At 55.6% G+C, this 13,184-nt stretch overlaps 1 protein-coding gene across 1 annotated transcript, besides 2 other annotated features; it reads right to left on the reverse strand.

Moving 5' to 3' along the window:
• Window positions 1–1,267: 1,267 nt before the first annotated feature.
• Window positions 1,268–7,722, reverse strand: PDZK1IP1 (PDZK1 interacting protein 1). Its single transcript, NM_005764.4, has 4 exons — window positions 7,552–7,722; window positions 5,005–5,113; window positions 2,688–2,783; window positions 1,268–1,729 (listed from the first exon to the last, which is right to left on the reverse strand). The coding sequence occupies exons 1-4, from the start codon at window positions 7,616–7,618 to the stop codon at window positions 1,657–1,659; spliced, it is 345 nt and encodes a 114-aa protein (NP_005755.1). The 5' UTR covers window positions 7,619–7,722; the 3' UTR covers window positions 1,268–1,656.
• Window positions 8,003–8,297: a silencer, noted in NCBI's record as "tiled region #12212; K562 Repressive DNase matched - State 5:Enh". NCBI's record gives its function as "represses a minimal TATA promoter and a strong SV40 promoter by Sharpr-MPRA in K562 cells {active_cell/tissue: K562}" and the evidence as "EXISTENCE:reporter gene assay evidence [ECO:0000049][PMID:27701403]".
• Window positions 9,127–10,076: an enhancer, noted in NCBI's record as "H3K4me1 hESC enhancer chr1:47657113-47658062 (GRCh37/hg19 assembly coordinates)". NCBI's record gives its function as "activates a minimal SCP1, AML or CMV promoter by ChIP-STARR-seq in naive H9 embryonic stem cells {active_cell/tissue: H9 hESC(naive)}" and the evidence as "EXISTENCE:reporter gene assay evidence [ECO:0000049][PMID:30033119]".

Below are 13,184 nucleotides of genomic sequence, written 5' to 3' on the forward strand. Positions count from 1 at the left end.
CCTCTTCCCTCTGCTGCAGGCTGCATCCTAAACCCAATGAGGTGAGAAGAGATGATTCCCATTTAAGATGAGTCTTCCCCAGTGGTACTTGGTGAAGCCTTGGAATAGCAAAACAATGGCCATAACATAAAGCAAGGGGGCTGTGACAGGTTGAGACAAGTGGCAGAGGGAGACCTTTGGGACAAGGTGGATGGCCTCCTACCTTCTGGCCCCACTTCTCTGGATCTGGGAATTATCCTGGATGAGTCTCTCAGGTTATCACCCTGGACAGAGACAGAAGCTGTTCGCATAAGGCCAACAGTCACAGAGGTGAGGGGCCTCCAGGTTCAGCCAGCCAGGCAAGGCATGCCTCCCCTCTCCCCTGCTCCTACTAGGACCCAGTTTCCTGATCCTCCCTTCCCAACCCTGACTCCCACCCCAGGACTGGGCATTGGGAGGGCAGGCATAGGCAAGGACTGGGCTCTCCTCCAGCTCTGCCGTGAGACTGGCCAAATCTTCCACGGAGAGAAAGCTCAGCTCAGAGAGGACAACAGCTTTCCCAAGTTCACACACAAGTTGCCAGAGGACCCAGGACTCAGATCTGGGCTTCCTGAGTCTCAACCCAAGACTGCTTCCTGACACTTCCTATGCCAAAGCCCAGCACGGAGGGGCTACTGGAGGGAGACAGAGCTAGATCTGTGTGAACCCACTGTGACACCTCCAGCACAGAGGCAGAGGGTGAGCGGCGCTGAGCAAGGAAAAGCCCAGAGTCTCAGGGATGAAGGATGTTTGGGGGCGGGGATTTCCAAGAGGGGCGCTACCTGGAGCAAGGGTAGAGTGGGTGAGCTCTCTGGCCCATGGGCCTCTGACATCCTCTTCCTTCCCTACATACAGGAAACTGATCAGCACTAGGGGAACCTAGCTCATATTAGGGTCTGCTCTGCCCTGCCCTGGGAAGCCTTGCCTGGCTGCTCTGGTTGAAGAAAGGGTTTGGCCTGAGGGGACAAAAACCAGCCCATTGGCAGAAATGGGCTCACCTGTCCTGGTCTCCCTGCCTCCCAGTTCTCCCAGGTGTCATCAGACACTCCCATTTGAGGGTGCTTCACTCTCAAACACCAGAAAGGCACCAACCCTCTCTTACCCTCACCCTGGCCACACACTCTCAGCCCCTCCCCAGCCTGGGCCCCCTCGGTCCCAGCTGCCCTGTGGGCACAGGGGCTTCCTGCATAATCCCCCAAAGCCACTACAACAGAGTCGGAAGGTGACTGTCATGATTCAGAAAGCAAGATGGGGACTCACTGGAAGCCTGAGGGGCTGTTGCTGAGCCTCAGCCCCAGAAATACAAAAAGTCTTTATTTCACAGAAATTAGGGCCATTTCCATAGTTATGGGGAAGGACGTGTGAGCAGGATGGGAGGTGCTCAGCTGACTGTCCTCTCCAGAAGGCTCTTCTGAGCTGAGCAGGAGACCCCAGGGCCACAGCCGAGCCCCAACCTAGACACGGTCTGAGCTCCAACCTTGGCTGGCTATACTTCAAGGGCGGGTAGGGCCGGCATGGGGCTGGAGGGAGTCAGCCCACTATTGCAGATTCCACACAAAGAAGGAGGGGGCTTGGGTGGTAGCACTGGACATCCATCCCATGTGCCTGGGAGTCTTGGGGTTGGAGCCACAGAGAAGGTTACATCGGGGTGCTGCGGACCTTGCCTTCCTCCTCGGGCACATTCTCATAGGCATTCTCATGCTCACTGGACCTGAAAGAAGAAGGCATGGGCCTGATGGGTCATCGCTCCTCCCATTCTATCCCCTTCTCCCTGCCCCTTCCTGCACTTGTGACAGTAATAGCTTCCAGAATAAACACTTGACTCCCAGAAGGGGATTGTCCTGACCACATCTGGGCTTATGCATCCGAGACTGGAGGCCTCTCAGCATCCCCTCCCTGACACCTATCTCCCTCCTCCTGTGGACTGCTGCACCACTGGGTCCTACTGAGCCCATCCCCCACCGAGCCCATCCCCCACTGACACCATGCTCCACTAAACCCATCCCCCACTGAGCTCCATCCCCAACTGAGTCCATCCCCACTGAACCAATTCCCCCATTAAACCCATCCCCCACTGAGTCCATACCCTGCTGAGTCCATCCCCCACTGAGCCCATGCCCCACTGAGGCTGAGTCCATCCCCCACTGAACCCATCCCCCACTGAACCCATCCCCCACTGAATCCATCCCCCACTGAGCTCCATCCCCCACTGAGCTCCATCCCCCACTGAGTCCATACCCCACTGAGTCCATACCCCACTGAGTCCACACCCCAGTGAACCCATCCCCCACTGAGTCCATACCCCAGTGAACCCATCCCCCACTGAGCTGCATCCTCTACTGAGCCTTCCCCTCACTGAGTCCCTCACTCATTTGTTCCTTCCTCCATTGAACCCTTTGTCCCCATTGTACCCACTGCCCTATGAGTCCCCTCCCCTACGCTGAACCCTACCCTACCAAGTCTCCGTCCCCTTCTGCAGCCCTCGCCCCACACAGGGGCTGCATTTTCCCCACAGAGCCCTGCAATCCTCACAAAGCCCCCATTGCCTCACTAGCTTTTGCCCACATGAGTCTCCGTCCTCCCCAGCCACCTCCCCCCAGCAGCACCTGTCTTGAGATTCTCCTTAGGCCCTGGGAGCACAGACCGGGCAGCCCTGCCCTGCACCTCACCTGAAACTGGCCGCCATCGAAGAGTACCTTCCATCTGTTCCCACCAGGACTCCATCTGCCTTGTTTCCGACGGTCAGGATCATGTGTGCAGGCTCCCTGGGGATGGGATTCATCAGTGGGGCTCCTCAGTGGGGCCCCCCTCGTCCAAGCAGACCCTATTCTGGGTCCTGGTTCTCACAAGCCCGAAGGCTAGCAACTGCCCTTCCCAGAGCTGTGTGCAACAGGGCATGTCAGCCGCGGCTACTGGCCCCACCCATGGGGTCTCTCACTTTCTCCCCACTCCATAGTGGGGGGCCAAATATTTGCAAAAGATTTATCCTGAGTCCAAAGCCTCTCTCTGTCCCAGACGCCCTCAGTTCAGCCTCCACAGCAGGCCCTGCAGGATGCAGTGTCTGCCCCAAATTTCCCCAGCTCGTGCCTTGGGCAGTGGGCACAGATGTGGTTGGTGGCCCTTCAGGCAGAGCTGGGGCAGGTGGAGAAAGTCTATCTGAAGGGCATTCAACAACAACCTTCTCGTCTCTTACTCAAGTTTAAACCCCCTGCAGTGTGGGCTCTCCCTGAAGCCTCCCAGAAGCTGCTCTCATGAGGGTTACAGGGACCCGAACACCTGCTCATTTCCTTAGACATCCCACAGGCACCCCAGACTTAATATGTCTCCAATTAAACTTAGCAGTTGCCCCTATGTCTGCTCATCCTCCTGTGTTCTGGGCCTCGGTGAGTGATCCGCCATGAGAAACTTAGATGCCATTCCTGCCTTCCTCCCCTCGAGTCCGCTGCTGTCTGTGACGACCAACTCCCAGGGTGCCCACCTCCTAGACAGCGCTCAGACTCGTCTCTTCACTTCATCCTCTCTGCCACCGCTACAGTCCAGACCCCCTCCTGACCTCATGCCCACCCCCTCACCACTCTCCAGGCCTGCAGACTGGAGACTCTTCCACCGCTGCCGTGCATCTGCCACGAGGCAGCCAGAGTCATTCTGCTAAGGCCGTGTCTCATCCCGAAACTGGCTTAAAAACTTGCCACTGGAGGCAGGGCATGGTGGCTCACACCTGTAATCCCAGCACTTTGAGAGGCTGAGGCAGGCGGATCACGAGGTTGGGAGTTGGAGACCAGCCTGGCCAACAGAGTGAAACCTGTCTCTACTAAAAATACAAAAATTAGCCAGGCGTGGTGTCAGGCACCTGTAATCCCAGCTACTCGGGAGGCTGGGGCAGGAGAACCGCTTGAACCCGGGAGGCAGAAGTTGCAGTGAGCCGAGATAGAGCCATTGCACTCCAGCCTGGGCAACAAGAGCAAAACTCCATCTCCAAAAAAAAAGAAAAAAAAAAAAAACTTGTCACTGGATTCCTGCTCACTTAGGTAAAGTCCAAAGCTCAGGTCATTGGTGTGCAAGAGCCTGGTTGGCCTGGGCCTGCCCACCTCACCAGCCTCATCTCAGGTGTCTCCATCCCTGTCTCCACCCACTGAGCCACTGGGGTTTCCTCAGCAACCCTGCATGGGGCTAGCACTCAAGCCACCAGGCCACCTTTGTGAGATCTGGGAAGAAATGCCCCTGGGAACAGAGGCAGCCTTGCCTGAGGGTCCTGACCTGGTGAGTGCAGAGTGAGCTGGATTTCAGCCCACCTGCCCTTCACCTGTGTGTGTCTGTCCCCAGCAGCCCTGGTGCCGTGCCCCTAACTCAGGACCTGGGTGTACCCTTCCCTCAACTGCAGCGCTCTTCCCACGCCACTCTATCCTGGTAGTGACTCCTCCTCGTTAGTCAGGTTTCGGGATAAATGTGCAATGGGGAAGCCTTCTCTGGCCACCCCGGACCAGGTCAGGCCCTGCAGTGTCCTCTGCGCTCTCCCTCAGCAGCAACTCTTGAACTTCTGACAGCTCACTCCAGTCTGAGCCTGTGAGGGCAGGAGGTGTGTCTGTCCCATGCCCTCTCTGTACCACAGCTGACCCACCCAAAGGAGGGACCGCACCTTCTAGAGGTCCTTACAGCCCCCATCACAGGCTGGGCCGCTATCCTGGCTCTGCGGAAACACCAAGACTCCAAGAAGCGAAGCCGTTTCCCCAAAACTCACAGGGAGTGGGCACCAGAGCTGTGGGGCCCACAGTGCCCAGGTCTGGGAGCCAGCAAGCCTAGGCTCTCATTCCCTCATCCCGACTGTCACCAACCCACCCCATGACCTTGAGCCTCAGTTTCCCTTCCCTTGAGCCTCAGGGGGAGGATTGGACACAGGGTTTCTGAGGCCCTTCTCACTGCTACTAGAGCAAGAGCAGTGGTCCTGGGCCCACCCTGCCTGCTCAGGGACCCTTGGGCAGCACTCACGGCTCCTCCTGGCACCAGAAGTGGTTGACTGCAAAGGCGATTGCAACGAGGACCAGGAACACGGCCACCGCGATAAGGCCCTGCATCCAGGGCTGAAGGTTCCCCAGGCCTAACAAAGGGAGAGGGGCTGTAGCAGACGGGGCCACAGTGGGGCTGCATGTGCAGGAGAGCGAGGGGCCTCACTCTTCAAGGACCCCACCTATGCTGAAGGCCCTCAGCCAGCTGCCAGGAGCAAGGAGACATTGTGGGGAGGCAGGGGTGGGATACAGCCCATCTGACCCACTTATGCATCTTAAGCTCCACCGAGCTTAGGAAAAGGAGGGAGCTGGAGGAACAACAGAGGCTCAGAGAGAAGGGAGTTGGAAGGAGTGAGAAGCCAAGGAGGGAAGAGCCTCAGTGCTGTATCTAGGCAGCCCAGAGCCTCTTTCCCTCCCGCAGGTGGGTCACATGCAGCCCCAGGGACCAAAGGGCAGCCCCCTGGACAGCCGGCCTAGGCCTTGCAGCTGGGAGTGGCTCCCAGAAGGCTGAGGAGGACCCACAGCTGACAAGACTGGTCTGGGATCTAGAAGATCCTGTTCTGTAGCAAGACGTTTCTCTGATGGTAGGAAGGGTATGAGAGTGGGAGACTCTCAGGGCTGCTCAGCTGGGGAGATCTGGGGTGCCTGGGGTACCCAGAGAGAGGAGTGGACCAGGACATCTTTAGAAGGGCAGAATGGAGGGGTGAACTCTACTCTGGGTCTTGGGGACCAGGAAAGAAGCCTCAAAACCTGAGCTCCTTTTGATTCCCCCAGCTGGGTGCCCAGGGACTAGGGCCAGAGATTAGGTTGAGGCCCCAACCTGCACCCTTCTCTACTTTTTTTATTTTTTAATAGAGACAGGGTCTTACTACGTTGCCCAGGCTGGTCTCAAACTCCTGGGCTCAGGCGAGCCTCTGGCCTTGGCCTCCCAAAGTGCTGGGATTACAGGCATGAGCTACTGCACCAGGTCCCTTCTCTGCTTTTTGACCCTTGACACCAACACAGTCCCTCAAGATTTTCCTGAAGTCCCTGCCTTCAGGCCTCTGCTTCCCCAAAGGACTTTCCTCTTCCCCAGCATCACTGCACTCCATGAGCCTGCAGGAGCTCAGCCTTGTAGAGAAAAGACCCTCAGCGGGGAGAAGTCCCAGGACAAAACACAGGTCAGCAGGGGGCTTCAGAGGGGTCCTGCCTCCAGGCCAGAATATACCTGCATCCCTATATTTTGAGGGACCCAAGCTGGACATGAGAAAACCTTCCTCTGGCTCACTCCTGCTCAAATGTCCTCCTTTGAGTCTACCAAAAGCTCTCCTGCTGCAGTGGAGGCCTGACCTCTTCTCCGAGCCTGGCAAATATTGGGAAGGAGGAAGGAGGCTAGGAACTCTCTGGCCTGTAGTGAGGTCAGACCTCACTTATCTCCAGGGGAAGCAGAAGACACACAGTGTGATTACCCTCAGTTCCACACCTGCCAAAAAGCAGTATTTGGGAGTCATTGTTTCCCTAGGGGTTCAGACTGCTCCCTCAGGTCAGTGGTTGCTCAAGCATGGGGAGTTAGGGCTCAACCCTTGGAGGCCCCTCCCTGTTTCCTCCTAGACCCTGCAGCCAATTCTCTCCAGTCACCCCAGGGACCACAGTCCCTGCTCCTCCTCCCATGCACATACAGCAAGGGGCAGTGTCTGGGGCAGGAGAAAGGTGGTCTGAACCCTGTCCTTTCTTGCCGTGCTCTGTGACTCAACCTCTCTGGTCTGCAGTTCCCCAGAGGGCTTCCAAGACCTGGGAGACAGAGTTGAAGCAGACACACATAAGAGCTCGGGGTGGGGGTGGGAGGGGAGCTCTGAAAGCATCTTTGCCAGTCCCCTCTGGACCAAGTCCCACCTGCAGAGTCCCCAGACTTTGGCTGCAGATGCAGCCTGACAGTGTAGAATGAAAGCCAGACCTTGGGTTAGTTACTTCACCAGGTGCAAAGCCCTTCTTCACCTCTGACCTGGCAGCAGCCCTGGGAGGTGGGCAGGGTGGGGTTTATTGTTCTCATTTTATAGGTGAGAAAACTGAGTCTCAGGAAGGGGCAGTGATTTGCTCAAGGTCACACATCCATTCAGGCAGAGCAGGACGAAGAGGTCAGATATTTGGGGGAGTCACACTGGGCACTGTTCTCTATCCAAGCCCAAGAGGCCGAGACAAAGCCCAAGTCTTTGAGGGGTGGCTTGGGCCCCACTCTCACCCTACTTGTACCCCCGGGTCCCCTGTACTCAGGACCCAGCCATCCCTTGGGCAATGCCTGCTCTTGGGGCTTGGGCCTCAAATCCTGTTCCTCCCTGAGATCCTAGAACCAACTGCTGCCAGTTTTCACTCGTTGAAAACAAGTGACAGGCAGAGACTTGGTTCAGAGGTCTCTGCCTTGGGACATTCTTTCAGCTAGCGCAGTCCCTGCTCCCCCTCCAAACTGTAAGTATCAAGGCCCTGGGGAGGGGAGCCAGAACACCACCTGTCCACCCCTGGGTCTCCCGTGCCCAGCCCTCTCCTCCTGAGCTACCTTGCTGACAGCTGGCAGGTGGCACTGCCGTGAGCAGGCCCAGAATGAGGAGGCTGAGGGCCGACATGGCTGCAGCAGCTCCTAGCCTTGCTTCTGGCCGCCGGTGTCTGGGCTCCTGGAGCTGCTGTGGAGTCTATTGGTGTCCGCCTGAAATCAACCTGGGCTCAGTCTGGCCCTGGAGGAGAGGAGCTAGGAAGGAGGAAGGCGAGGGAGGGAGGAGACACGAAGACGGGCGTCGGAGAGAACGTGCCCTCCCTCCCATGGTAATGAGCTGCCAGACCTGGCCTCCCCTGGCTGGTGCCCAGCTCACTTGGGCTGGCATTCGAGGTCATCTTCCAGGGGCCAGCTAAGGAGGTGGGTATGAGGAACAAGCAGATGTGGGAGAGTCCCAGCCTCACCTCCATGCCCTGAGCTCCCTTTTCCTGGCAGTGGGGCTGGATTCTAGGGAAAGGGGTGACACACAGTCGCTCCTGCCTTGACTGAGCCCAGTGGGCGGGGCTTCTTGGAAGGCTGACAGTGGGATTAAGAAATGTCCTGGCTGGCTCAGGAGCCTGGGGAAAACCCCAGAAGCCCAGAGAAGGCTCAAAGCTGCCAGACTCCGCCGAGAGCCTGGCCTATTTCCTGTTCTCCCCACCACCTGCCCCTGCCCCGCCAAGCTAAACTCTGGGACTCTAATGCTGGGACACACTACGGCTTCAGTGCCTTCCACGCCCTGGCCCAGCCCAGTAGCTTCCTAAATCCACCCCCTTCTGCAAAGATCTCAATAGAGGGCCTGAAGGTCCCAGTCCCCAGCTTTCACAGCCCATGCCCAGGCCCTGACCCAGCACAGCTAACCTAGTCCCAGTTCGGTTCTTCCTCTTGGCCCCAGATGTGGTCCCTGGAAACCGGGCAGGGCCTCAAAACAAGATACAGCCTTGGTCAGAGGCTTCAACACCCAACTTCAGATCCATCTCCACCCATGGCAGAGGAGAAAATGGGCAAACACAGCCTGCTGTGGGGGACAAAGGACGGACACCCCAGATGGCAAGGTGCGATCTGGGGCCCTGAAGCCCTGGGCCCGTCACCCTCATAGCCAAAAGCAGCATTGAGGAAGGCACACCTAGCCCCTGGAACAGGGAGGCCCTGGAGCCAGAGCCCTCGGAAGAGGCAAAAGCCTCCCCAGGATCACGTGGTGTCCACCTGGCCCTCCAGCTCAGGGAATGAGAATGGCCAGAGTTCCTGTGCAAGCCCCTGACCAAGGGTCATGCTGGTCTCCTTGCCCCACCCCCCACCCCAGAAGTATGGGAAGCTGAGATGCTGACTCCCTAGAAAGGAGCGGGCCAACTGGAACAAAGTCTCATCAGAGATGGAAGGTCCCCAGGAGCCAGCACCTGAGCTGAAGGCACCTCCACAGCCTCTCTTCCCTGAAGCCACCAAACTCCTATTCATCAGGCCTCCTGGGCAACCCTTCCTATGGCAGGTTGATTCTGCCTTCCTGCTCCAGCGGGAGCACTCAGACATCATGCCTCAGGCCTGCTTCCTGTGTGTGTGTGTGTGTGTGTGTGTGTGTGTGTGTGTGTGTGTGTGTGTGGTGTGTGTGGGTGTGTGTGTGTGTGTTCACATGCGTGTGCAGTCGGGCCCATTGCCATCCAAAGATGGAGTGTCTCAAGGTGATCTGGGAGAACTTTGCTTGGAGTTGAGTGATGCCTCCCAAACATGTATATCCTGGCCTCCCTCCCACACCCAACTTGGTGTCCTCAGAATCTTCTAACACAGACTGGAGTAAGCACTGTGCATGTTAATGAACAGCCAGAGAATCACTGATTGGAATGTAAGGAATGGGGCTGAATTTAACAAACATCTACTGGTGCCTTCTCCAAGAATTTTAGGGAGGAGAGTCACATGGTTAGTTTTGCGTTTGGGAAAACACCTCTCCATGCAGTGTGGAGAGTGAAAGGGGCATGCAAAGGCTGGAGAAGAGAAATCCAGGGATCTGCTACAGTGGCCACAACACCAGTGCCTGGACCTGGGCAGGAAGTGCCCATGGGAACAGATCTGAGCCCTGTTGAGGAGGTAGAGAAGCCGGGGTGTGGCTGCTGGAACACAGTGCCAAGCTGGGAGAATGGGTACAGGCAGGAGGCAGGGCTTCAGGTGACTCCCAGGTTTCTGGCGTAGGCAGCTGGGTAGATGCTAGTGCCTCAGTAGGGGCCAGAGCAAGTTTGGGGGGTTGGAGGATTAATGAGCTATAGATTTTGAGGTATTATGCTTGCAGTGCCTGTGGACTTTCCAGAGGGAGACATCTGGAAGGCTGCAAAATCCCTGCATCTGGAGTGGAACATCTGGGAGCCGTCTGCAGCACAGGGATGGTAACTGAGGCCTGGGAGCTCATGGTCTCCCCAGTGTGTGTAGCGGGGGTAGGGGTGTTGAGGGGAGAGCACAGAAAGAAGGAGACACGCCCCCAACACACAAAGGTCTTTCAAAGGAAGAAGGGGCAGGAGGAAACAGGAGGAAGCAACCCCAGGAAAGTGGGGTATCCCAGGAGCCAAGCAAGGACAGACTTAAGGAGGGTGGGGGGGTCACAGCTGTGCCACCCCCTCCAACCAGTGCCCTCAGCACTCAAGTCCCAGGTTCTGCCTTCCCCACCCCAGTATCCTCCACTTCCCTGAAAAACCCAGGGAAAGGAAAGGATCCCCTGGGCTATGCTTTGGGAGTGGTGGGGGAAGGGGATGAACAGGAAGGACACCAGGTGATCAACAGGAGGAAAACATACCTCCTGGGTCAAAGTCCCAAGCTTTAGAGCAAAACAAGTTGTTCCAGAAAAGAGGGAGCATGGGTGGACACTTGGCTTTGAGGCTGGTCCCTCCTCCCTGGAGGTCTTCACACGGGTGGAGGGTCATCTCCCCAGCTGTATGGACACAGCCCTGATCCCCATGGTAACAAGGTGGGCCCCCCTACTGGTCTGGCTGGGGCCCAGGGTCTGGACTAAGGTCTCAGCAGCCCCACAGGGCTGCACCGTGTGTCCTGAGCAGCTGTTCCATCGACGTTCAGTTCCTCCTTCCTGTTCCAGCCCAGCTGTCACGCAAAACCATCAGGCCCCTTAGACAAGCCCTCCATCCAGCCAGACCTTATGCGATTGCCCTTCAGAAAAGCCAAAGTGGGCCTGGACTGTTTCCAGCAGTCTCCTTCCTCCCAACCCCATCTTGTCAGCCATTCCACTCACTGCCAGCAGGTGGCAGTGTCTAGCTCCAATACCAGACTGGGCGTGCAGGGAGCCAGTTTGCTGCTGAAGATTCTGCAACTTCCCCTCCCTCCAGCCCCCACTTTTGCCCTCCTCCAGGGGTGGTCTGAAGAAAGGGACGGTGGACATTGACATGTAAATAGTCTGGGAACAGCATACAGGGAGTGCTCAGGGCTCTGACATAGGGCAGCGTGGTGGACTACATTGCTAAGGAAGGCATCCTGGAGGAGGTAATGCAGGCAAAGTTAGCCAGAGTGTTGTACTCGGCAGACAGTCTGGGGAGAGGAATCCAGGCAAAGAGCTTAGCCTGAGAAAAAGTACAGAGAACATTCAAGAAGGGTGTTTAGAACACAAATATAAAAGCTTTCTTTTTTTCCCTCTCAGTGTCTCTCTCTGTCACCCAGGCTGGAGTGCAGTGGTTCAATCTTGGCTCACTGCAACCTCCGCCTCCTGGGTTCAAGCGATTCTCTTGCCTCAGCCTCCTGAGTAGCTGGGATCACAGGCGCCCACCACCACACCAAGCTAATTTTTGTATTTTCAGTAGAGACGAGGTTTCACTATGTTGGCCAGGGTGGCCTCAAACTCCTGACCTGAAGTGATCAGCCCGCCTCGGCCTCCCAAAGTGCTGGGATAACAGGCGTGAGCCACCGCGCCCAGCTCTTTACTAATTCTTATAATACTTCATCTTGTTAATATCATTGCTGTAAGCCAGAGAGCTCCTGGAGACCTTGTTTTATTCTTTCAAACGTATCTTGCTTAAACCCTTTTATGGCATTCATCAGCCCTTAAAATAATATGCAAACTTCTTTGCATGGGTTTGAGGGCACAGGCAATCTTCCTTACCCACCACTCCAGCTTGGTCTGGCCCCGGAGCCTCCTGTCACTTCCTAACAAAAGCCAAGCTCTTTCCCACATCAGAGACTTCTCTCCACTTGCTCTTTTCTCTGCCTGGAACACTCTTCCACTCCTATTTGCCCAGCAAACTGATCTTCCTTTACATCCCTTTCTTCAAGAATACTTCTTTACTTCCCTTCTCTCCCATCTGAAGTCACTCCCTTCTATGAGTCTCCTTTGCTCATCTCCTCACAGCCATGATCACAAGTTGCAATTACACACTGATTTGTATGTTTACTCATTTAATAACTGTCTCCATGGAGGGAAGGTATCATGTCTATCTCTCCCTCAGCAGCCAGTACTGAGCACAGTGCCTGAGTACACACTCGACACACATTTTATGAAATTAAATGTCAGTATATGCAGTGCCTACCACTGGCCTAACAAAGAGCAGAAGCTCAGAGAAAGGTTGTTCAATGAATAAAACATTTTAGCTGTAGTTGAGTCCTTGTCTCTCTCCACTCTCTATCTGTGGGGCAAGGACTGTGTCTGATTCATCTCTGTATGTGAAGGAGAAGACAAGGCAACCATTCCTCTGACAGTTAGAGCTGTTCAGCCTGATATGAGGGTGTCCTGGAGGGTGAGCTCTCCTTCCCTAGACATGTAAGAGCAGAGGCCATGGACCAGGTCACCCAATGAGGTGTCTGCAAAAGGGGTTTGTCTTAGTCTCTTTGTACCACTTTAATAAAAATACCCTAGACTGGGTAATTTATAAAGAACAGAAATTTACTTTCTGACAGTTCTGGAGGCTGGGAAGTCCCAGATCAGGGCACTAGCAGGCTTGGCATCTGGTGAGAGCTGCCCTCTGCTTCCAAGATGACACATCTTGCTGTGCCCTTACACGGTGGGAGGGATGGAAAGGTGAAAGGGGCAAGGACACTCCCTTCAACCCCGTTTTTGAGAACACTAATCCATTCACGGGGGTGAAGCCCTCCTGACTTAACCCCTTTCCAAGAGGTCCCAGCCCTCAATATCACCACCTTGGGGTTTAAGGATTTTTTTGTTTTTTTTTGTTTTCTTCGAGACGGAGTTTTTGCTCTCATTGTCCAGGCTGAAGTGCAGTGGCACAATCTCAGCTCACTGCAACCTCCCCCTCCTGGGTTCAAGTGATTCTCCTACCTCAGCCTCCTGAGTAGCTGGGATTACAGGCCCCCGCCACCATGCCCAGCTAATTGGGGTTTAAGTTTTAACATATGAATTTTAGAGGGACATATACTGAAACTGTAGCAGGGTTGTAGCCCTTCCAGGTCTGGAGCCTATGATCCTGTGATTCCGTTAACAGAATATGATAGCTTTTCATATTTTGATAAGGTCCCAAGGAAGCAGGCTGGTTAGGACTGTGGTGAGCCCCTCTCCTCTCAGACTTAAGAATTCATTCACCTGGCTCCCCTTCATGTAACACTCCCTTCCCAGAGGGCTGTGGACAGAACTCTAGCTCATGAACATGGACAGGGAAACATTATATCTGTATTTCACTAACCTCTAACTTAAATTTACCACTTTCGGCCAGATGTGGTGGCTC

The sequence above is a fragment of the Homo sapiens genome, chromosome 1, assembly GCF_000001405.40.
Source record: "Homo sapiens chromosome 1, GRCh38.p14 Primary Assembly".
Taxonomy (NCBI): domain Eukaryota; kingdom Metazoa; phylum Chordata; class Mammalia; order Primates; family Hominidae; genus Homo; species Homo sapiens.

What these genes read in the sequence shown, in the direction of transcription:
- PDZK1IP1 (NM_005764.4), bottom strand. Translation starts at nt 7,618, where the DNA reads ATGTCGGCCCTCAGCCTCCTCATTCTGGGCCTGCTCACGGCAGTGCCA. An exon ending in ACCTGCCAGCTGTCAGCAAG is followed by an intron (nt 5,114 to 7,551) that starts GTAGCTCAGGAG and finishes TCCCTTTGTTAG; the next exon opens with GCCTGGGGAACCTTCAGCCC. An exon ending in TCGATGGCGGCCAGTTTCAG is followed by an intron (nt 1,730 to 2,687) that starts GTGAGGTGCAGG and finishes TTCTTCTTTCAG; the next exon opens with GTCCAGTGAGCATGAGAATG.